General features: G+C 36.0%; 1 protein-coding gene and 1 pseudogene across 6 annotated transcripts in view; both read left to right on the top strand.

The window, feature by feature from the left end:
- Positions 1-23,792, top strand: part of IL7 (interleukin 7) — a 130,420-nt gene that overhangs the window by 24,157 nt on the left and 82,471 nt on the right. The gene's annotated exons all lie outside the window — the stretch shown is intronic.
- On the top strand, positions 18,726-21,962 carry THAP12P7 (THAP domain containing 12 pseudogene 7; annotated as a pseudogene).

Raw genomic sequence — 23,792 nt, 5'->3', positions numbered from 1 at the left:
ATGAAGCAACTACATCAACAAGTCTGTAAAATAACCAGCTAGCATCATGGTGACAAGATCAACTGCACACATAGGAATATTAACCTTAAATGTAAATGGCCTAAATGCCCCAATTAAAAGGCACAGAGTGGCAAGCTGGATAAAGAGTCAAGGTCCACTAGTGAGCTGTATTTAAGAGACACATCTCATGTACAAAGACACATATAGGCTCAAAATAGTAAAATCTACCGAGCAAATGGAAAACAGAAAAAATCAGGGGTTGCAATCCTAGTTTCTGACAAAACAGACTTTAAACCAATAAAGATCAAAAAAGATAAAGGCATTACATAATTGTAAAGGGTTCAATTCAACAAGAAGAGCTAACATCCTAAATATATATGCACCCAATACAGGAGCACCTAGATTCATAAAACATATTCTTAGAGACATACAAAGAGACTTAGACTCCCACAGAATAATAGTGAGAGAATTTAACACTGCACTGTCAATATTAGACAGATCATTGAGGCAGAAAATTAACAAGGATATTCAGGAATTGAACTCAGCTCTGGATCAAGTGGACCTGATAGATATCTACAGAACTCTCCACCCCAAAATAACAGAATATACATTCTTCTTGGCACCACATGGCACTTACTGTAAAATCAACCACATAATTGGATGTAAAACACTCCTCAGCAAATGCCAAAGAACTGAAATCACAACAAACAGTCTCTTAGACCACAGTGCAATCAAATTAGAACTCAATTTTAAGGAACTCACTCAAAAGCATACAATTACATGGAAATTGAACAACCCGATCCTGAATGACTCCTCGGTAAATAATGAACTTAAGGCACAAGTCAGGAAGTTCTTTGAAATCAATGAAAACAAAGAGGCAGTGTGCCAGAATCTCTGGAATGCAGCTACAGCAGTGTTAAGCGAGAAATTTATAAAACTAAATGTCCACATTAAAAAGCTAGAAAGATCTCTAGTCAACATCCTAACATCACAATGAAAAGAACTAGAGAACCAAGGGCAAACAAACCACAAAGCTAGCAGAAGACAAGAAATAACCAAGATCAGAAAAGAATTGAAGCAGATGTAGACATAAAAAACCCTTCAAAATATTAATGAATCCAGAAGCTGGTTTTTGAAAAAAATTAATAAAACAGACTGCTAGTTAGACTAATAAAGAAGAAAAGGGAGAAGAATCAAATATACACAATAAAACGATAAGATAAATATCATCACTGACCCCACAGAAATACAAACAACCATCAGAGAATACCATAAACACCTCTATGCAAATAAATTAGAAAATCTAGAAGAAATGGATAAATTCCTGGACAGATATATACTCCCAAGACTGAACCAGGAAGAAGTTGAATCCTTGAATAGGCGAATAACAAGTTCTGAAATTGAGGCAGTAATAAATAGCCTGCCAACCAAGAAAACCCGCGACCAGACAGATTTAGAGCTGAATTCTACCAGAGGTACAAAGAGGAGCTGGTACCATTTTTTCTGAAATTATTCCAAACAATTGAAAAGGAGGGACTCCTCACTAACTCATTTTATGAAGCCAGCATCATTCTCACACCAAAACCTGGCAGAGATACTACAAAAAAAGAAAACTTCAGGCCAACATCTCTGATGAACGTCAATACAAAAATCTTCGGTAAAATACTGCCAAACCAAATCCAGGAGCACATCGAAAAGCTTATCCACCATGATCAAGTTGGCTTCATCTCTGGGATGTAAGGCTGGTGCAACATACAAAAATCAATAAATGTAATTCATCACATAAACTGAACTAAAGACAAAAACCACTTGATTATCTCAATAGATGTAGAAAAGGCCTTTGATAAAATTCAACATCCCCCCATGTTAAAAACTCTCAATAAACTAGATATTGATGGAACATACCTCAAAATAACAAGAGCCATTTATGACAAACCCACAGCCAATATCATACTGAATGGACAAAAGCTGGAAGCATTCCTCTAGAAAACTAGCACAAGACAAGGATGCCCACTCTCACCACTCCTGTTCAACATAGTATTGGAAGTTCTGGCCAGGGCAATCAGGCAAAAGAAACAAATAAAGGTAGGCAAATAGGAAGACAGGAAGTCAAACTGTTTGCCGATGATGTGATTTTATATCTAGAAAACCCCATTGTCTCAGCCCAAAAGCTTCTTAAGCTGATAAGCAACTTCAGCAAAATCTCAGAATACAAAATCAATGTGCAAAAATCACAAGCATTCCTATACACCAACAATACACAAGGAGAAAGCAAAATCATGAATGAACTCCCATTTACAATTGCTAAAAAGAGGATAAAATACTTAGGAATACAGCTAACAAGGGCAAGTGAAGACCTCTCAGGGAGAAATACAAACCACTGCTCAAGTATATCAGAGAGGACACAAACAAATGAAAAAACATGTCATGCTCATGGATAGGAAGAATCAACATTGTGAAAATGGCCATACTGCCCAAAGTAATTTATAGATCCAATGCTACTCCCATTAAATTACCATTAACATTCTTCCCAGAATTAGAAAAAACTACCATAAAATTCATATGGACCCAGAAAAGAGCCAGTATTGTCAAGACAATCCTAAGCAAAAAGAACAAAGCTGGAGGCACCATGCTACCCAACTTCAAACTACATTCTACAAGGCTACAGCAACCAAAATAGCACAGTACTCATACAAAAACAGACACGTAGTCCAATGGAAAAGAATAGAGACCTCACAAAGAAGACCACATATCTACAGCCATCCGATCTTTGACAAACCTGACAAAAACAAGCAATGGGGAAAGGATTCCCTATTTAATAAATGTTTCCTTAATATTCCATTATTTTAAACATTTATTAAGCATCTGCTAATAGTAATCTGTCAACTCAAATCTGAATGATGTATTCCCCTCTTCAAGAACTCTAGTGACTCAGAGTGGAATAACAATTTTAATGGGACTTTGAAGAATGTATAGTTCTTAAGGAGGCAAAAATGAAAGGGAATGCCATTTCATCAGAGAGGACTATTTGAGTCAAAGCTTCGAATCCTGCCTTTCCATGCAATTTTGCATGCATTTATGAAATGGCTGTTAAAGATTGTGTGCAAGCTGTTAAATAATGAGCACAGGTATAAAAAAGACCAGTTTACCAGACTATGAGGTTTAGTTTTGAAAGAGAGCTAGACTCTTAAATAAAGAATTGCAATGCAATGGGATAATGCTGATAATTACAGTTGAAAATGTTTAGGGATACCAACTAATTTGACCTGGGGGCTTGGTAATTAGATTTAAGTCAATGGCCCCATGTAGCTCTAGAGGAGATTTGGATGTAGAAAAGTTGGAAGGTAGGGTATGGCTAGATTTTGCAAGACCTTACATACCAGGCCGAAGAATGTGAACTTGATCTTTAGGACTATATAATAAGGAGCGATCAGGCTTTTAAACTGCAGCAGTGTAGAATTAAATCTGGGATTTAGAAAGATAATTCATATGCGCCATATAAAATAAATTTGTGATGAAAAGCATTCAGAAAGATAGGTTATTTCAGCATTCGTAGTTGGCACTGTTGAGTATGGCATGTTTCTTTTTAAAAACCATAGTAAAATTTACAGATGGCAGCTGATGTCCTCTGAAAGTTTGGGAGTATGTGATTGATGATATTGTCATTCAATCAGTAATTTTTATTACATGAAAATACAATGGAAAACTCAAAGATTGATAAAATATAGTTCTTGCATTAGGAACAAGCAAATAAAAGGCAGTAGTGAATGCATGGAGTCCTTAAAGGTAGTTTCCCAAAAGGAAGAGTAAAACTGAAATGGCCCCCAGCACCTGGAGAGAAAAAGGAGAAACTGCAAGTTGGAGCAATGAGATGAATGCTAATGCCACAACATAATTACAAAGTCCGTCCTAGTGAAGAAGGAAGGCACTTTCAGATTGCCCTTTTTTATAGGTGCCTGTTGTTGTCAAGGCCTGTTCTCATACCTGGCCAGACTTCCATTAAGTCTGTGCATTCAACTTTGAGGACAATGATGCGTCTAATACTCCCAGGCCTGAATAGCTATTTTATGAAAATTACTATATTGGTATTTTTATTTGTTTTGAACCCACATCTATGCCTGCATTAGATATTATAAACTTTATTATCTAGCTTCTTTACCATGTGCAGATAGAGGTGAATCTCAACTAGACAACCGATGAAGACATTGTCGATCACATAATGATAATATTTGTGCTTCAGTTGTTTTTCTCTTAATGGTGCTTATTATGCAGGTTATTAATTCAAAGACCATCATTGGTATTGAGGAATGTGAGAGTAGGAATGTCATTTATAGAGATGAAAAGTTTCTATTCACCATGAAGATCACAGATGTTTTCATCTGCCAGGGAGTAATTTATACTGCATCTACTTATGTTATGACCCGTGTGGACCCTGTGTCAATATTGAATCTGAATATGCCACTTGCTAGCTATGTGACATTGGATAAATTACTTAATCCTTCTGTGCCTTAGTTTCCTTATTTCTAAAGTGGGGATAAAATTAGGACCCATACTTCATAGGGTTATTTTAAATAAATTAAATGGGCTAATATATGTAAAGCTCATGGAACAGTGCCTGGAACTTAAGCATTCAACAAGTCATAGTTCTTGTCATATTATTAATGTTAGAAATAATGTCTGCAACAATGCTCTCTAAATTTCCTATCTCACATCCTTAAGAACAGATGCAAATAAAAACCTGTAATATTTGAAAATGGCTAGAAATTGTGTGATTTATGAGAGCAAAATTCAAACATACACAATATGATTTTGCATTCACTTTAGTCCCCTCTTATCCAACATTTCAGCTTCTGTGGTTTCAGTTACCCAAAAATCAATGAAGGTTCAAAAATCTTCTATGGAAACTTCCAGAAATAATTCGTAAATTTTAAATTGTGTGCCGTTCTGAGTAGCATGATGAAATCTTGCACTGTCTCACTCTATCCCATCCAAGGGGTGAATCATCCCTTTGTCTAGCAGAACCGGGCTGTGGATGCTACCTGCCCATTAGTCTCATAGTAGCCTTTTAGATTATCAGATTGGCTGCAGAGGTATCTCAGTGCTTATGTTCAAGTCATTCTTACTTTACTTCATAATGGCCCCAAAAAGCAAGAGTAGTGATGCTAGAATATTGTCATAATTGCTCTATTTCATTATTAGGTATTGTTATTAATCTCTTACTGTGCCTAATTTATAAATTAAAGTTTTATCATTGGTATGTATGCATAGGAAGAAAAGTACCGCATATATAGGGTCTGGTACCATGTATGGTCTCAGGCATCCACTGGTGGCCTTGGAAAGTATCCTCCAAGGATAAGGGGTACTACTGTAGAGAATGTAGAAGTGGCTATTTAATAACCACTAAATATTTATTTAGCATGGAAGTGTTTGAAGTAAAATCTTACACAGAGGTCCAGTGAAGTCCCAAGCCCTGACTATCCTGTATCATCCTTACGCTTACTTCTAAGCGCCCCCCCAGTTACCTTATGAAATCCTAGGACTACATGGAATATGATCTATGAAAACCACTGCCCTAGTCCAATGTACTCATTTTGCTTATGAGAAAATTCAAGGAGAGGTTACAGTAAGTCAGTAAAACGCTACAGGAAGAAAAAGGACTGGAAATGAAATGCTTTGGTCAGAGTCCCCACTTTGCCCCTTTGGCTATGAGATGTTGGACAATTCAGTTAACTGCTTGAAAGCCTGATTTTTCCAATTAGAATTTTGATTTTCATAATCTCTGAGATCCATTCCTGCTGTAAAACTATTCAATGTCAGAAATGCACACAGTCATCCACAAACTCTAGTTTGGTGTTCTTTTCATTGCACTGATGTAGAAGTATCGACTACTTAGGAGAACCAAAGAATGAATGCCCTGGATGAATTCCATAATAACCTTTCTGCACATCCAGAGTAGGATATGTATAATTTTGTGACGTATGGCACTGTACCAAGTACAGGTGAATATGCCGTCAGGTTTTCAATAGTTATGCAGTGTGTGTATTTAACATGAACACTGATAGCTAGGCAAATCTGCCAATTGTTGAATCATATAGTTCCTGGAACACCATTTCTTATCCCCAAACTTATATAACCACACCTGGATTAAAGTAAATTAATAAAATACTACGTTGTGTACCTAAGGTGTGTTGGTAAAGCTGGAAAAGGCAACTCATGAATAAAAAATATATATTACCTCCAGAAAAATAAATGTAATGCATACACAACTTTACACAAGTTAAAGAATGGGTTTAACAACTAAGATTTGTTCATTACCCTTTCATGAGACATTCTTTTGTTCTGTATTCATTACATTATTAGATTTTCTAGTGAATTTCACCAATTGATTTTTCTTAAGTTGAGCTTCATCAGAGAAATTCTGTAGAGGTATTTTCACAAATGAAAACTCACAATCACAAGTTTTCTAACTCTTTTGCATAAAAAAGCACTGAGGACACTTTCATGATGATATTATTCTGAAACACCATATTTAAGAATATAGTCATTTTTATTCTTTGTTTGTTCTTTATGTCCTAATGTTCTCTACAGTGGATTCCATCAATATTAATTGTTAAAATATTAACTTTCTATTTCTGCCATTGTTTTATGTACCACAGAGACATGTATTAGAAAACACGCTATGTTATGGGTGTAAGTTAAATGAGAAGCACAGTGCCAATAAATTGCACGAGAATTGCTTTACTTGGGCTATTCTTGGTCATAGGAAGGACTGGGAAATTAATATAGTCACGTTTTTATAGATGCAGAGCTTTTATTAATTAACATACAGTTGTTAATTAGTAGTATATGTTCACCTTTGTTATTAACATAAAATTTAGTACAAAACACTTTTGGGATATTAAATTTTGGTATTAAATATGTCCTATTTCATACATGTTAGAATATAATTAATATATACTTATTGTCATCACAAAGAATCAATGCTAAAGTCAAAAAATTCCAGGTACTTTTTTTCCTTCTTGTTAACCTAGCAATGTTGGGCATTAGATGAAGAAGAGGCAAGGCTACAGGGTTAGATAAGGATCTGCAGTCTTAGTCTTTGCAAATACTTGGTATCTCTTGCCTTCTCAAAACTTAGGCATTGAAAATTATTATAAGTAATGAAATCCAAAATGTTAGATAGGGTAAACACAGTTGAACTCACAAATATATGTTTTTTTTTCTTTTCTCTGCTCTTTTGGTAGAAAATGTAGAACATGATTAATAAGGTTGGAGTTTTTTCTTTATAATTTTTTTCACAGTGGCGTTCCAAACTAAAGAATGCTTGTTTACCTAATATGGCCAAATTGGAGCCAGTACCTTCATTCAGCTAGATTTACCCCAGTTGCATATTTGCAATGAGGCAGAATTCCTACAGACAGCCTTCCTTCTGATTTTTCTGCCTTTGTTCCTCCTCACACTGTGTTTCTCCCATAATTCACATCTACCCTCTACCTAATTGGCTTCTCCAGTCAAAGTGGATAAGCATCTCAGTCAGAAATACATTATGAGAACTTCCCAAACATGTACTAATCGCCACAAACCAAGGCTCAGATCATGCCATATCGCTGCTCAACAACTTTCCTTAGGTTACCACTCACTGGCTATTGCAGGACTAATTCCTTATGTGGGCATTGGAGAAGGAAAATCTGTTCTTTACATTTCTAGCCTACTTGCCACTCTGTATTGCCCCTTACACGCCCAGCACCACAACCAAATTGGATTACTTACTGTTTCCAAAATATGCTCCACATTTTTGTACCTCAGTGCCTTTGCTGTTTTCTCATTGTGGAATTTTCTACTTCCCCTGTCTTGCTCCACAAATCTTCCCGCACCCAAATTTAAAGACAGCAGGAATTGAATAACATCCTTTGTTCAATACCGTTCGTTATGACATTGATGAGAAAAAAGTCCATTTCTGGCCCTGGACCACTGTCTGTGTAGAGTTAGCACATTCTCCCCGTGTCTGTGTGGGTTTTCTCTGGGTACTTTGGTTTCCTCCCACATCCCAAAGACGTGCCCACTGGGTGAATGGGTATGTCGACATGGTCCTAGTCTGAGTGTAGGTGTGTGTGAATGCACCCTGTGATCGAGGGTGTCCTATCCAGGACTGGTCCGTGCTTTGTAATCTGAGCTGCTGAGATAGACTCCAGCCACCTGAACTAGAATAAGCAGTTTGGAAAGTGACCCTGAACTAGAATAAGCAGTTTGGAAAATGAACAAATCAATCAATGTAAATTATTGTCAAATAAAAATTTGTTAAGTAAATGGTCATTATACAAATACACAACAATAAATGATGCAAGACGAAGGTGCTCATCCAGCTGTGAGTCAGCCTTACTTGTTTGTGATTCTTTTTTAACTGTGTGGTGGAAGTGCTCCTGACAGTTTTAGCTTTGCAAACACTTATTTCTTGACTTAATCCACCACCACTATGACCATCGACACTCACTGATTTACAAAAACATGGGTAATTATCTTGTTTTTGTTAATCTTTCTTAAATGTATGTGTAGCTCATATTTAATTCAGTGTTTAATATTAGAAATGTTTGGGGTCTTCATTTAGAAATTTGGCGATGTTTTTGTGATGAGAAATATGCCACAGGATCTTAACTCTTTTTTATATCAATTAACCTACGGTAAAATTGGTTTCTTTGTACAACAGTTTACTTAAAGTCGCAGTTTCCAAGAACCTATCCGTGATGTTAGATGAGGACTTACTGTGCCATTTAAGGTCAAGTTCAGGTTCTACTTTATTCATAACGCAAGTCAAAAGTAGTCTTACTGTTGCACTTTATCTTGAACACTATTAAGGAAGGTATCATTCTATATTTTATGCATAAAATCTGAATATGCATATACATTCAATATTTTTTTTAAAGTAGACATGTAAATGACTAAGCAAACAAAATGTATTACAGGCTATGTCATGTGGTCAGGGCTTAGGATTCAGAAAATAATATGTTGTCTTGAATTTTGCTAGCACTTATATTGTCAACTCTTCTATTAAATTCTGTTGATTGAAAATTTTGAATCAAGCTCACATTACTTATATGACAAATTCGGGTAATAGAAAAAGCATGGGCTTTGTAACCAGGCAAACCAGTATTTGCATGCTAGCCCTGCCAATCATTAGTTTTTCCACTTAGTGTTTTTGTGAATCTGGTTTCTTTGGGATTGTGGAGTGTAATGATAGTGACAGTTGTTAGATATTGCTTGCACTGTCCATTATTCTAGGAAGAAAGTTTCCTGGAATAGGAAATATAACTGATTGTTTTCCCACAGGAGAAGAAGGCACTTCCTCTCCTCTTTGGGGCTAGAAATGACTTACTTTAAAAATCTCAGTTAAGAGAGGACTAAAGCTGTTCCAATGTTATGATTGTATTCCCCTAACTATGTGAAGGTACAGCAGGAGCAAGCCTTTCATTTGTAGCAGTGGCTGCAACAGAAAGGGGGGCAGTTTTTAGAGCGGCCTGGCACAGGGTATTAGTTTTTGAATCCTCCAGGCTGAAGAATGTGTGCTTCCTCAGCATGTGTAAGTATTTGTGTCAGTATGCTTTCATGTATAATTAGTAGAAAACTGAACATAAATGGACTTAAACATTAAAGAGTTATTTAATGGCCTGTATAACTGAAAAGACCCCAGTTGAATGCTTTCAACTGTGGCTTAGAATTTCAACTTAATTTCTTTGCAATTTTTTGACTCTGCGTTTCTCCATGTGGCATTAATCTTCATGTTGTGGCTTACCAGTAGCCACCAGGGTTTCTTTATTCTTCCATATCCAGCAGAATGATAATTCCTTTGCCTATAATTAACTAAGTTCTTAGATGTACTCTGATTGGATTATCTATGAAAAAATCCTTATGTCAGCGGAAGACCCAGGTCTTAACTGCCTTAGACCTTGTTTAATTGAGCAAGTTGCTTTGGTCAGAGAGATGGGATAACCTTTATTTACTTAGTATCTAAGTCTTAGACCAATCAAAACTCAAGCCAGAGCTGGAAGTGGTATTAACTTTCATTAAAAAAATTACTGCTAAATAATGGAGAGAGAGAAATAGGAATGATATGCAATGAAAACCACAATGTCTATTGCGTTGGGAGGTTTTGGAGCTCCAACAGCCAGGAAACAGCTAGGAAAACACTTTCTGACATAATAAGATCTGTCCCCTCTCCACAAATGGAGTGGGAACATTAGTGATTCCCACTAGAGAAGTAGCTTTACCTAGGAAAGTGGTGATTTCATGAAGTTCGTCATTTCTATGACAGCAAGTTGTGGAGACCAAGGAGAAGAACCTGAAGAGTTTATTACAGAACACACATTAGATAACATTATGGGAATTTTCAGAAATTACATGGTGCTTTCAGAGGAGTTTATCTCCATCAGATAGGAACTTAAAGGCTTAAATTATAATAATGTGTGTATAAAAAAAGAAGAGTGATTTTATTATATAATCACTGGATAGACAAAACTGTAAAGATCTCCTATAAAGCAAAAGGAAATAATTTGTGTATCTGTCTACATACTATCTTCCTACCTATCTCACTTGTGTGCGTGTGCGTGTGTATGTGTGTGTGTGTGCGTGTCTTTGCATATTGGTCTGTGTATGCATATGTATATATAATTAAGAGAAGATGATTGATACCATAGACAGAGCAGAGAGCTAATCTATAAATAATAAGTGTTTCTGAAGAGAAAATAGCCCATCAAAACAGAAGCAAAAGTTCAGAATAAAAGAGAGATATATTTCTGTATTAAAATCTTAAACTTGTTGATTATGACTCAAGGGTAAGAGACAAACACTAGGATATATCAAGGTGAATTTTTTCAAGGAAGCATCCTTCCAGTAAGAGAGGGGAAACATGTCGACAAAAGGATACAATTAGGTTAGCCTCTATTTTTTTACCAATGTTTAGCTCCAATTGACCAAGCTCTACTGAATTTTGTGATAACTACTAAGTTTTGTTACTGTGGGTTCACAGTCTTAGACCCAGGCAAATTTTATTGAATGTACCAAGAATAATAAAGACACAGATAGGCCAGCAAGGGTACTGCTTCTTTATTCAATAAAAACCTGACCTTAAGATTAGTCCATTTGGCTTTTGTTGCCACTGCTTTTGGTGTTTTAGACATGAAGCTCTTGCCCATGCCTATGTCCTGAATGGTAAAGCCTAGGTTTTCTTCTAGGGTTTTTATGGTTTTAGGCCTAACATTTAAGTCTTTAATCCATCTTGAATTATTTTTTGTATCAGGTGTAAGGAAGGGATCCAGTTTCAGCTTTCTACATATGGCTAGCCAGTTTTCCCAGCACCATTTATTAAATAGGGAATCCTTTCCCCATTGCTTGTTTTTCTCAGGTTTGTCAAAGATCAGATTGTTGTAGATGTGTGGCATTATTTCTGAGGCCTCTGTTCTGTTCCATTGGTCTATATCTCTGTTTTGGTACCAGTATCATGTTGTTTTGGTTACTGTAGCCTTGTAGTATAGTTTGAAGTCAGGTAGTGTGATGCCTCCAGCTTTGTTCTTTTGGCTTAGGTTTGACTTGGCGATGTGGGCTCTTTTTTGGTTCCATATGAACTTAAAAGTAGTTTTTTCCAATTCTGTGAAGAAAGTCATTGGTAGCTTGATGGGGATGGCATTGAATCTATAAATTACCTTGGGCAGTATGGCCATTTTCATGATATTGATTCTTCCTACCCATGAGCATGGATTGTTCTTCCATTTGTTTGTATCCTCTTTTATTTCATTGAGCAGTGATTTGTAGTTCTCCTTGAAGAGGTCCTTCACGTCCCTTGTAAGTTGGATTCCTAGGTATTTTATTCTCTTTGAAGCAATTGTGAATGGGAGTTCACTCATGATTTGGCTCTCTGTTTGTCTGTTATTGGTGTATAAAAATGCTTGTGATTTTTGTACATTGATTTTGTATCCTGAGACTTTGCTGAAGTTGCCTATCAGCTTAAGGAGATTTTGGGCTGAGACAATGGGGTTTTCTAGATATACAATCATGTCATCTGCAAACAGGGACAATTTGACTTCCTCTTTTCCTAATTGAATACCCTTTATTTCCTTCTCCTGCCTAATTGCCCTGGCCAGAACTTCCAACACTGTGTTGAATAGGAGTGGTGAGAGAGGGCATCCCTGTCTTGTGCCAGTTTTCAAAGGGAATGCTTCCAGTTTTTGCCCATTCAGTATGATATTGGCTGTGGGTTTGTCATAGATAGCTCTTATGATTTTGAGATACGTCCCATCAATACCTAAGTTATTGAGAGTTTTTAGCATGAAGGTTGTTGAATTTTGTCAAAGGCCTTTTCTGCATCTATTGAGATAATCATGTGGTTTTTGTCTTTGGTTCTGTTTATATGCTGGATTACATTTATTGATTTGCGTATATTGAACCAGCCTTGCATCCCAGGGATGAAGCCCACTTGATCAAGGTGGATAAGCTTCTTGACGTGCTGCTGGATTCGGTTTGCCAGTGACAAATGGGATCTAATTAAACTAAAGAGCTTCTGCACAGCAAAAGAAACTACCATCAGAGTGAACAGGCAACATACAAAATGGGAGAAAATTTTCGCAACCTACTCATCTGACAAAGGGCTAATATCCAGAATCTACAATGAACTCAAACAAATTTACAAGAAAAAAACAAACACCCCCATCAAAAAGTGGGCAAAGGACATGAACAGACACTTCTCAAAAGAAGACATTTATGCAGCCAAAAAACACATGAAAAAATGCTCACCATCACTGGCCATCAGAGAAATGCAAATCAAAACCACAATGAGATACCATCTCACACCAGTTAGAATGGCAATCATTAAAAAGTCAGGAAACAACAGGTGCTGGAGAGGATGTGGAGAAATAGGAACACTTTTACACTGTTGGTGGGACTGTAAACTAGTTCAACCATTGTGGAAGTCAGTGTGGCGATTCCTCAGGGATCTAGAACTAGAAATACCATTTTACCCAGCCATCCCATTACTGGGTATATACCCAAAGAACTATAAATCATGCTGCTATAAAGACACATGCACACGTATGTTTATTGTGGCACTATTCACAATAGCAAAGACTTGGAACCAACCCAAATGTCCGTCAATGATAGACTGGATTAAGAAAATGTGGCACATATACACCATGGAATACTATGCAGCCATACAAAAGGATGAGTTCATGTCCTTTGTAGGGACGTGGATGAAATTGGAAATCATCATTCTCAGTAAACTATCACAAGAACAAAAAGCCAAACACCGCATATTCTCACTCATAGGTGGGAATTGAACAATGAGAACACAGGGACACAGGAAGGGGAACATCACACTCTGGGGACTGTTGTGAGGTGGGGGGAGGGGGAGGGATAGCTTTAGGAGATATACCAAATGCTAAATGATGAGTTAATGGGTGCAGCACACCAGCATGGCACATGTATACTTATGTAACTAACCTGCACATTGTGCACATGTACCCTAAAACTTAAAGTATAATAATAATAAAATAAAAAAGATTACTCCATTTGAACAAGATATTAATAAATATCAATAATAGAGAAATGGTGATATAAAACAATCACTATTAAATGCTGCAGTATTTGGTGATTTCTAGATAGCTATTGTAAATATTAAAACACAAAAATAACTTGTTTCACCTAAGCCCTAAGAATATAAAAAGTGCGTGGTTATGGGAGGACTGAGAAAGCTAAAAAGATGATAAATCCCTCCCTTTCATTAGAATGATTAGTGGATATGTATACTAATTAGATTGGTAGAGAATATAATTTTAATAATTATTGGAAAACACTCTTAAAAGAATTATAGTCTTTCAAATTACAAAGAAAAAGGAAAATACAATGTAGTCACTTAAATACCAAAATTATACCAAAATTATAAAATAAAGGAAAAGGAACAAAAAGAAATAGAATGACTATCTGACAATAAATATAAATTATGTTAAACTCCAAAATTAACCTGATTGTTCACACTCACACACACACACTCACTTGTTCACACTGTATGCACTATATAAGAGATAAACACAGACACACACACACACTCACTCACACTGTATGCACTATATAAGAGATAAACCTAAAGTAAAATATCAAAAATTTTTTTAATCCCTTATATAAAATTATCAACTGATCATTAAAAGACAAAAAACTTATAAGAAAGTGGATAAGAACAGACTATTCATAGAAAAGAAGATGCAAATTGTTAATTAACATGAAATGATGTTCATCTTCAAGTAGTTACAAAAATGCAAATGTAAGCTATAATGAGGCATAATTTTTTACTTCTCAGGATTGGTAAAAATGGTAAAGACTGATGACATCTGATCCAAATAAGAATGTAACAGAATGGCCTCCTTTATATGCTGGTAGAAGCACAAATTATTTTAAAAATACATATACCATTTTATTCAGCAAATCTCACTTTTGGGAACTAAGTCTACAGAAATGCAAGCATTAATATAAAATGAGATAACAAACACATACAGATACACATACAAAGATGTCTGTTACAGAATTGTTGGTAGGAGCAAATATTTGACTATTCATCAATAAGTATTGAATAATTTGTGGAACACACTTAATGTGGAATATTACGCAGTTATAAAACAATTGTTCTAGTATGTTTGACCTAGAATGACAGTCATGATATAAAGTGAGAATGATACAAAAATCAAAGTGTAATGTATACACTGTGATCCTATTTTTTAACAAAATGAAAAAGGAAAATACCCTCATAAAACCCTATATATGCATGTATATATGTGTATTTTCTATGCCTGCAGACCTAACACGCATAGGCATAGGATGCTGAGCTGAAAGTATAGAGGTCTCATATACTCCTTGTGCCCACAGACAAATTTCCCCACTATCAACAGTTGCTATCACAGTGGTACATTTATTATGATCAATGACTCTACACATCATTGTCACCCAAAGTCTATAGTTTAGATTAAGATTCACTCTTGGTGTTGTACATACTATGGGTTTTGTCAAATGTCTTCAATCCAAATTATATTACAGAATAGTTTCACTCTCCTAACAACTTCACTGTTCATTCTTTGTGCCTCTCCTATTCATCCACTTGCTCCCTCTTAAATCTTGACAAACCACGAATCTTTTTACTGTCTCTAGTTTTACCTTTTCCAGAATGTTACATAGTTGCACTCAAACTGTATATAGCCTTTTTCAGTTTGGCTTCTTTCACTTAATAATATGCATTTAAGATCCTTCCATGTTTTCTTGTTGCTTTATAGCTCATTTCATTTTAGAACTGAAAAAATATTCCATTGTCTGGAAGCACCACAGTTTACTTATTCATTCACCTACTGAAGGACATATTCATTCCTTCCAAGTTTTGGTCATTATGAATAAAGCTGCTATAATTATTCACATGGGGGTTTTGTGTGGCCACAAATTTTCAAATTCTTTGGGTATATAGCAAGGATTGCTGCATTATGTCGTAAGAGATTGTTTAGTTTTGTAGAAGACCACCAAACTGTCTTTCAAAGTGGCTGTACTGTTTACCTTCCCATCAGCAATGAATGAGAATTCTTTTTGCTTTACATCCTTGCCAGCATTTACTGTGGTCAGTGTTTTGGGTTTTGGCCATTCTAATAGGGTGTCATGGTATCTCATTGTTGTTTTAATTTGCATTTCCCTGATGGCATATGCTGTTGAATAACGTTTCATATGCTTATTTGCTATCTGTGTATCTTCTTTGCTGAGGTGCTTATTCAGGTTTTTTGCCAATTTTTTATTGGGTTGTAAATTGTCTTATTTTAGATTTTTAAGAGTTCTGTATAATATTTTGGATAATATTATTTTACCAGATATGTCTTTTGTAAATATTTTTTCCAGTCTGTGGCTTGTAATCTCATTCTCCTGATGCTGCTTTTTGCAAAGCAGAAGTTCTGAATTTTAATGGAGCTCAGCTTATCAATCACCTCTTTCATAGATCATGCCTTTGGTATTTTATTTAAAATGTCATCTCAATGCCCAAGTTCATCAAGAATTTCTCCTATGTCATTCTCTAAGATTTTTATAATCTTGCATTTTACATTGAAGTCTATGATCCATTTTGAGCTAATTTTTGTGAAAGGTTCAAGGTCTGTGTCTAGATTAATGTTAGGGGTGTGGATGTGAATGTCCAGTTGTCTTAGCACCATTTGTTGAAAAGAGACTGCTCCATTTTATTGCCTTTGCCCGTTTGTCAAAAATCAATGGATTATACTTAGGTGAGTCGATTTCTCAGCTCATATTCTGGTCCATTGATCTATTTGTCTGTTTTTTCACTAATGCTATAGTGTCTTGATTACTGTAAGTTTATGGTAGGTTTTGAAATTGAGTGGTGTCAGTCCTCTAACTTTGCTCTTTTCTTTCAATATTGAATTTACTCTCCTGGGTCTTTTTCCTCTTCACATAAACTTTAGAACCAATTTGTCAATTTCTACAAAATAACTTCCTGGGATTCTGATTGGAATTGCATTGAGTCTGTCCATTCATTTGGAAAGAACTGACATCATGACAATATTGAGTCTTTCTACCCATGACCTGGAATATCTCTCCATTTATTTTTTTCTTTTTTTGATATTATTTATCAGAGTTTTGTAGTTTTCCTCATATGTATTTTGGACATTTTTTTTTAGATTTACACTTAAGCATTTTATTTTTAGGGCTGCTAACATAAAGTGGCAATGGGTTTTTAATTTCAAATTTCACTTGTTCATTGATGGTACATAGAAAAGTGATTGACTTATTTCTCTTGTATCCTGCAACTTTTATATAATTGCTTATTAGTTATCAGAGACTTTTTTACCAATTTAAAAAAATTTTCTACATAGACAATTATATCATCTGCAAACAAAGACTGTATTATTTTGTTCTTACCAATCTGTATACATTTTATTTCCTTTTTTGTCTTACTGCAATAGCTAAGTTTTGCAGTAAGATGTTGAAAGCTGAAGTGAAGGGAGATAGCTTTTTTTTTATTATCAGGAAACCTACAAATTTCTTATTATTAAGTATGATATTAGCTATAGGACTTTTGTAGATGTCCTTTAAGTTGAGGAAGTCCCTCTCTATTCCTAATGTGTTAAAATTTTTTATCATGAATGGGTGTTGAATGTTGTCAAATGCTTTTTCTGCATCTATTGATATGATTGTGTGATTTTTCTTCATTGGCCTATTGATGTGATGGATTAGATTAAACAATATTCCAATGTTAAAACACCTTTGCATACCTGAAATTAAATCCACTCAATTGTGGTGTAGATGATAAGTGCTATCCCCAATAGCAAATTGAATCCAATAATGTATAAAAGTATACAGTTTTATGTGGAGGATTTTTGAATCTATGTTCATGAGAGGTACTTGTCTATAGTTTTATTTTCTTGCAGTGTCTTTGATTTTTGATATTAGGGTAATGCTGGCCTTATAGAATGAGTTGAGAAGTATTCCTCCTGCTCCTGCTTACACACACTGTCAGATAGTGTGGAGCATTGATACAATATTGTCCTTAACTATTTGATAGAATTCAGCAATAAACTCATCTGGGATTAGTATTTTTTGTTTTGTAACATCATTTTTTATTTATTTTCTTGAATAGATATAGTCCTATTCAGAGTTTCTATTTCTTTTTGTGTGAGTTTTGGTAGATTGTGCCTTTTGAGTAATTGATGCATTTCATATAGGTTATCAAATTTGTGGATTTAGAGTTGCTCATAATATTTGTTTATTATCTGTTTAATGTCTATTGGATCTAAAGTGATGTCTCTGTATCATTTTTATATGAACAATTTTCACTTAATACCAATCTAAATCTACTTCCAAATAACATTATACCACTTTATAGGAGGTACAAGTAATTTATGGTAATAAAATATTACTAATTTCTCCCTCCTAACCTTTTATCACTGCTATCATTCATTTCACTTATAAATAAACATATAAGCATAATTGAATACATGGTTGCTATCATTATTTGAAGGTATTAACTTTTATATCAATTAAGAATAAGAAAAACAGGCTGGGGGCGTGAAGATTAACCACCCCATGTGCCATCACTGGCACCAACAAATGCTGTCCAGGGGGCTGCATATTGGCCAATTCTACTCACCACTGACAGTGCTTGTGTGCAGCATCTGGTGGCATGAGGACAGGTGCACCTCACCATAATTTTCACTAACAACCAGAGCCTAAGCCAATGAAGAACTCTCAGACAATGCTGACATTGATCGCATCCAAATAGAACATACAGAGACGACACTACTGTGCTAGCCCAGAATTAAAGCCAAAACATCTTCCCCAAACAATACTATAATTACAGCTACAGGAAAAGTCTTTCTCTATGAAAGAAGCCAATCCATGAAATTAAAAGAGAAACTGTTAAAATAGATGCACAGATAAGGTAAGGACATGAGAAATATGAAAATTCAAGAAAAAAATGACACCTCTGAAGGAATACAATACTTCTTCAGTAAAATATCCCAAAGAAATGTAAATATGTTAAAAAGCCTGAAAAAGAATTCAAAATAATGTTCTTAAGAAAATGCAGCGAGATACAAGAGGACACAGATACAAATACAAGAGGACACAATAGAAAAAAAAAAATGCATTGGGAAGGCAATTCATGTCTTCAATGAGAATTTCAAGAAAGAGAGACAGATATAAAAAAGAACCCGGCGGCTTCTAGCCCGCCCGCCCCTCCCCCGCGCGTCGGCCCTGCCGAGCCGGCCGGCCGGCCTGGCTCCCCTCCCCGGCCCCGACGGGCGGGCGGACTGCCCTGAGGAGGCGGGGAGGGGAGGGCTGGACCGGCCGGCGGGCGGGCGACGATGCCGAACTTCTGCGCTGCCGCCAACTGCACGCGGAAGAGCACGCAGTCCGACTTGACTTGGCCTTCTTCAGCTTCCCGCGGGACCCTGCCAGATGCCAGAAGTGGGTGGAGAACTGTAGGAGAGCAGACTTAGAAGATAAAACACCTGATCAGCTAAATAAACATTATCGATTATGTGCCAAACATTTTGAGACCTCTATGATCTGTAGAACTGGTCCTTATAGGACAGTTCTTCGAGATAATGCAATACCAACAATATTTGATCTTAACAGTCATTTGAACAACCCACATAGTAGACACAGAAAACGAATAAAAGAACTGAGTGAAGATGAAATCAGGACACTGAAACAGAAAAAAATTGATGAAACTTCTGAGCAGGAACAAAAACATAAAGAAACCAACAATAGCAATGCTCAGAACCCCAGCGAAGAAGAGGGTGAAGGGCAAGATGAGGACATTTTACCTCTAACCCTTGAAGAGAAGGAAAACAAAGAATACCTCAAATATCTACTTGAAATCTTGATTCTGATGGGAAGGCAAAACATACCTCTGGACGGACATGAGGCTGATGAAATCCCAGAAGGTCTCTTTACTCCAGATAACTTTCAGGCACTACTGGAGTGTCGGATAAATTCTGGTGAAGAGGTTCTGAGAAAGCGGTTTGAGACAACAGCAGTTAACACGTTGTTTTGTTCAAAAACACAGCAGAGGCAGATGCTAGAGATCTGTGAGAGCTGTATTCGAGAAGAAACTCTCAGGGAAGTGAGAGACTCACACGTCTTTTCCATTATCACTGACGATGTAGTGGACATAGCAGGGGAAGAGCACCTACCTGTGTTGGTGAGGTTTGTTGATGAATCTCATAACCTAAGAGAGGAATTTATAGGCTTCCTGCCTTATGAAGCTGATGCAGAAATTTTGGCTGTGAAATTTCACACTATGATAACTGAGAAGTGGGGATTAAATATGGAGTATTGTCGTGGCCAGGCTTACATTGTCTCTAGTGGATTTTCTTCCAAAATGAAAGTTGTTGCTTCTAGACTTTTAGAGAAATATCCCCAAGCTATCTACACACTCTGCTCTTTCTGTGCCTTAAATATGTGGTTGGCAAAATCAGTACCTGTTATGGGAGTATCTGTTGCATTAGGAACAATCGAGGAAGTTTGTTCTTTTTTCCATCGATCACCACAACTGCTTTTAGAACTTGACAACGTAATTTCTGTTCTTTTTCAGAACAGTAAAGAAAGGGGTAAAGAACTGAAGGAAATCTGCCATTCTCAGTGGACAGGGAGGCATGATGCTTTTGAAATTTTAGTGGAACTCCTGCAAGCACTTGTTTTATGTTTAGATGGTATAAATAGTGACACAAATATTAGATGGAATAACTGTATAGCTGGCCGAGCATTTGTACTCTGCAGTGCAGTAACAGATTTTGATTTCATTGTTACTATTGTTGTTCTTAAAAATGTCCTATCTTTTACAAGAGCCTTTGGGAAAAACCTCCAGGGGCAAACCTCTGATGTCTTCTTTGCAGCCGGTAGCTTGACTGCAGTACTGCATTCACTCAACGAAGTGATGGAAAATATTGAAGTTTATAATGAATTTTGGTTTGAGGAAGCCACAAATTTGGCAACCAAACTTGATATTCAAATGAAACTCCCTGGGAAATTCCGCAGAGCTCACCAGGGTAACTTGGAATCTCAGCTAACCTTTGAGAGTTACTATAAAGAAACCCTAAGTGTCCCAACAGTGGAGCACATTATTCAGGAACTTAAAGATATATTCTCAGAACAGCACCTCAAAGCTCTTAAATGCTTATCTCTGGTACCCTCAGTCATGGGACAACTCAAATTCAATACTTTGGAGGAACACCATGCTGACATGTATAGAAGTGACTTACCCAATCCTGACACGCTGTCAGCTGAGCTTCATTGTTGGGGAATCAAATGGAAACACAGGGGGAAAGATATAGAGCTTCCGTCCACCATCTATGAAGCCCTCCAACTGCCTGACATCAAGTTTTTTCCTAATGTGTATGCATTGCTGAAGGTCCTGTGTATTCTTCTGTGATGAAGGTTGAGAATGAGCGGTATGAAAATGGATGAAAGCGTCTTAAAGCATATTTGAGGAACACTTTGACAGACCAAAGGTCAAGTAACTTGGCTTTGCTTAACATAAATTTTGATATAAAACACGACCTGGATTTAATGGTGGACACATATATTAAACTCTATACAAGTAAGTCAGAGCTTCCTACAGATAATTCCGAAACTGTGGAAAATACCTAAGAGACTTTTAAAAACAGGCTTTCTTATATTTGATATTTGGAAGTAAAAGCCGTAAGGTGTATGTAGGCCACTTAATCACTAAATATCTTTGCCTATAGGACTCCATTGAATACATTAGCCATTGATAATCTACCTGTTTAAATGGCCCCTGTTTGAACTCTCAAGCTTTGAAGACCTACCTGTTCTTCCAGAAGAGAACGTTGAAAGTTCCATGTTTCCTTTTGCGTGATCTCTGTTGACGGCACTCTGGAATTGTTTCAGTTAAGTCATTTTAGACATAGCATTTATTATCACTGTGGATCTCTACTTGTTGGGTGTTATGAATTCTTTGAAAAAATATATTTTGAAGAGGTGTGGGAGGAAGGAATACATTTTATAAAATGTTATAGTTAAGCCCACAATTGACCTTTGACTAATAGGAGTTTTAAGTATGTTAAAAATCTATACTGGACAGTTGCAAGAAATTACCAGAGAAAAGCTTGTGAGCTCACCAAACAAGGATTTCAGTGTAGATTTTGTCTTTCTCAAACTTAAAGAAACAAATGACAAAGTTTGAATGGAAAAGCCTGCTGTTGTTCCACATCTCATTGCTGTTTACATTCCTTTGTGGAGCCTACATCTTCCTAAGCTTTTTAGCAGGTATATGTTGAACACTTCTGTTTCATGGTTGAGACAGAATCAGAGGCCATGGATACTGACAACTGATTTGTCTGGTTTTTTTTTTCTGTCTTTTTTCCATGACTCTTATCTACTGCCTCATCTTGATTTATAAGCAAAACCTGGAAAACCTACAAAATAAGTGTTGTGGTTTATCTAGAAAAATATGGAAAATATTGCTGTTATTTTTGGTGAAGAAAATCAATTTTGTATAGTTTATTTCAATCTAAATAAAATGTGAGTTTTGTTTAAAGCTAAAAAAAAAAAAGAACCCAGCAGAAATCCTGGAAATAAATAATTCAGTGGATGAAATTAAAATATATATATACAATCAAGAGTTCAACAATAGACTAAATCAAGCAGAAGAATTTTTGAACTTGGTCTTTTAAAATAACAAAGCCAGATTAAAAAAAAAGGTGGGGGGGGGAATAAAAGAATAAAAGAGAATGAAGAAAGCCTAATGACATATAGGACACCATAAAGCAAACAAATATTTGAATTTTATAAGTTCCATAAGAATAAGAAAATGGAAATGCCATAGACAACCTATTTATTGAAATAATATCTGAAAAATTCTTCCTTCTTGTGAAGGATATAGACATCTAGATATAGAAAGCTAAAATATCTACTAGTAGATTCAATAAAAATATAAGTGTTCTCCAAGGCACATTAAAGTTACACTGTGAAAGGTTGAAGACAGAGGGAGAATTTTAAAAATAGCAAGAGAAAAACATCAAGTCACATGTTGGGGGAAATCCCATCAGACTAGCAGCCTATTACTCAGTAAAAATCTTGCAGGCCAGGAGAGCATGAGAAACTATATTCAAAGTGCTGAGAGAAAAATGCCAATGAAGAATACTATGCCCAGGAAAGCTATCCTTTAAAAAGGATGGAGAAATAACATCTTTTTCAGACAAGTAAAAACTGAAGGAAATTCATCACTACTAGATCAACCATACAATAAATGCTTCAGGGAGTACAACATCTATAAGTAAAAGGATGATGTCTACTATTTAGAAAGCACAAGAAAGAATTAAACTCACGGGTAGAGCAGATACACTAATGAAAGCAAGAAAGAAATCAAAGCTTGTCACTACAGAAAATGACCAAACTGTAAAGATAAATATTAAAAGAGGAAAGAGAAACAAAGGATATACAGAACATTCAGAAAACAGCTATCAAAATGACAGTAGTAAGTTCTCACCTATTATTAACAACATTGAATGTAAATGGTTTAAATTCTACAATTATAAAGTATAGACTGGCTGAATGGGTAGAAAAGAAAACACAAAAGACCCAATTATATGCTGCCAACAAGAAATTCACATCATGGGTAAAGACACTATATTAGTCTGTCCTCATGCTGCTAATAAAGACATACCTGAGACTGGGTAACTTATAAAGGAAAGAGGTTAAATGGACTCACAGTTCCACATGTCTGGGAAGGTCTCACAGTCATGGTGTAAAACAAGGGAAGAACAAAGGGATATCTTACATGAGGGCTGGCAATAGAACTTGTATAAGGAAATTCTCATTTATAAAACCATGAGATCTCATGAGACTTATTCACTATCACAAGAACAGCATGGGAAAGACCCACAATCATGAGTCAATTACCTCCTACTGGGTCCCTCCCACAACACATGGGAATTATGGGAGCTACAATTCAAGATGAGATTTGGGTGAGGACACAGCCAAACCATATCAGACACAAATAGACTGAAAGTGAAGTGACGGAAACCATATCCCATGCATATGAAAGCCAAAACTTTGCAGGAGTAGCTATACTTATATCGGACAAAGTAGACTTAAAGTCAAAGAACATAACAAGAGATAAAGAGGTCTAGTATGTAATGATGAAGGGATCAATTCATTAACAGGATATAACAATTGTAAATATATATGGACTCAACACTGGAGCACTAAGATATATAAAGCAAATATTATTAGAGCTAAAGAGAGAGATAGAC

The sequence above is a fragment of the Homo sapiens genome, chromosome 8 (genome assembly GCF_000001405.40).
Source record: "Homo sapiens chromosome 8, GRCh38.p14 Primary Assembly".
In the NCBI taxonomy this organism is placed as follows: Eukaryota; Metazoa; Chordata; class Mammalia; order Primates; family Hominidae; genus Homo; species Homo sapiens.
The sequence above is the reverse complement of the archived record's forward strand: the minus strand, read 5'-3'. Positions and strand labels throughout refer to the sequence as shown.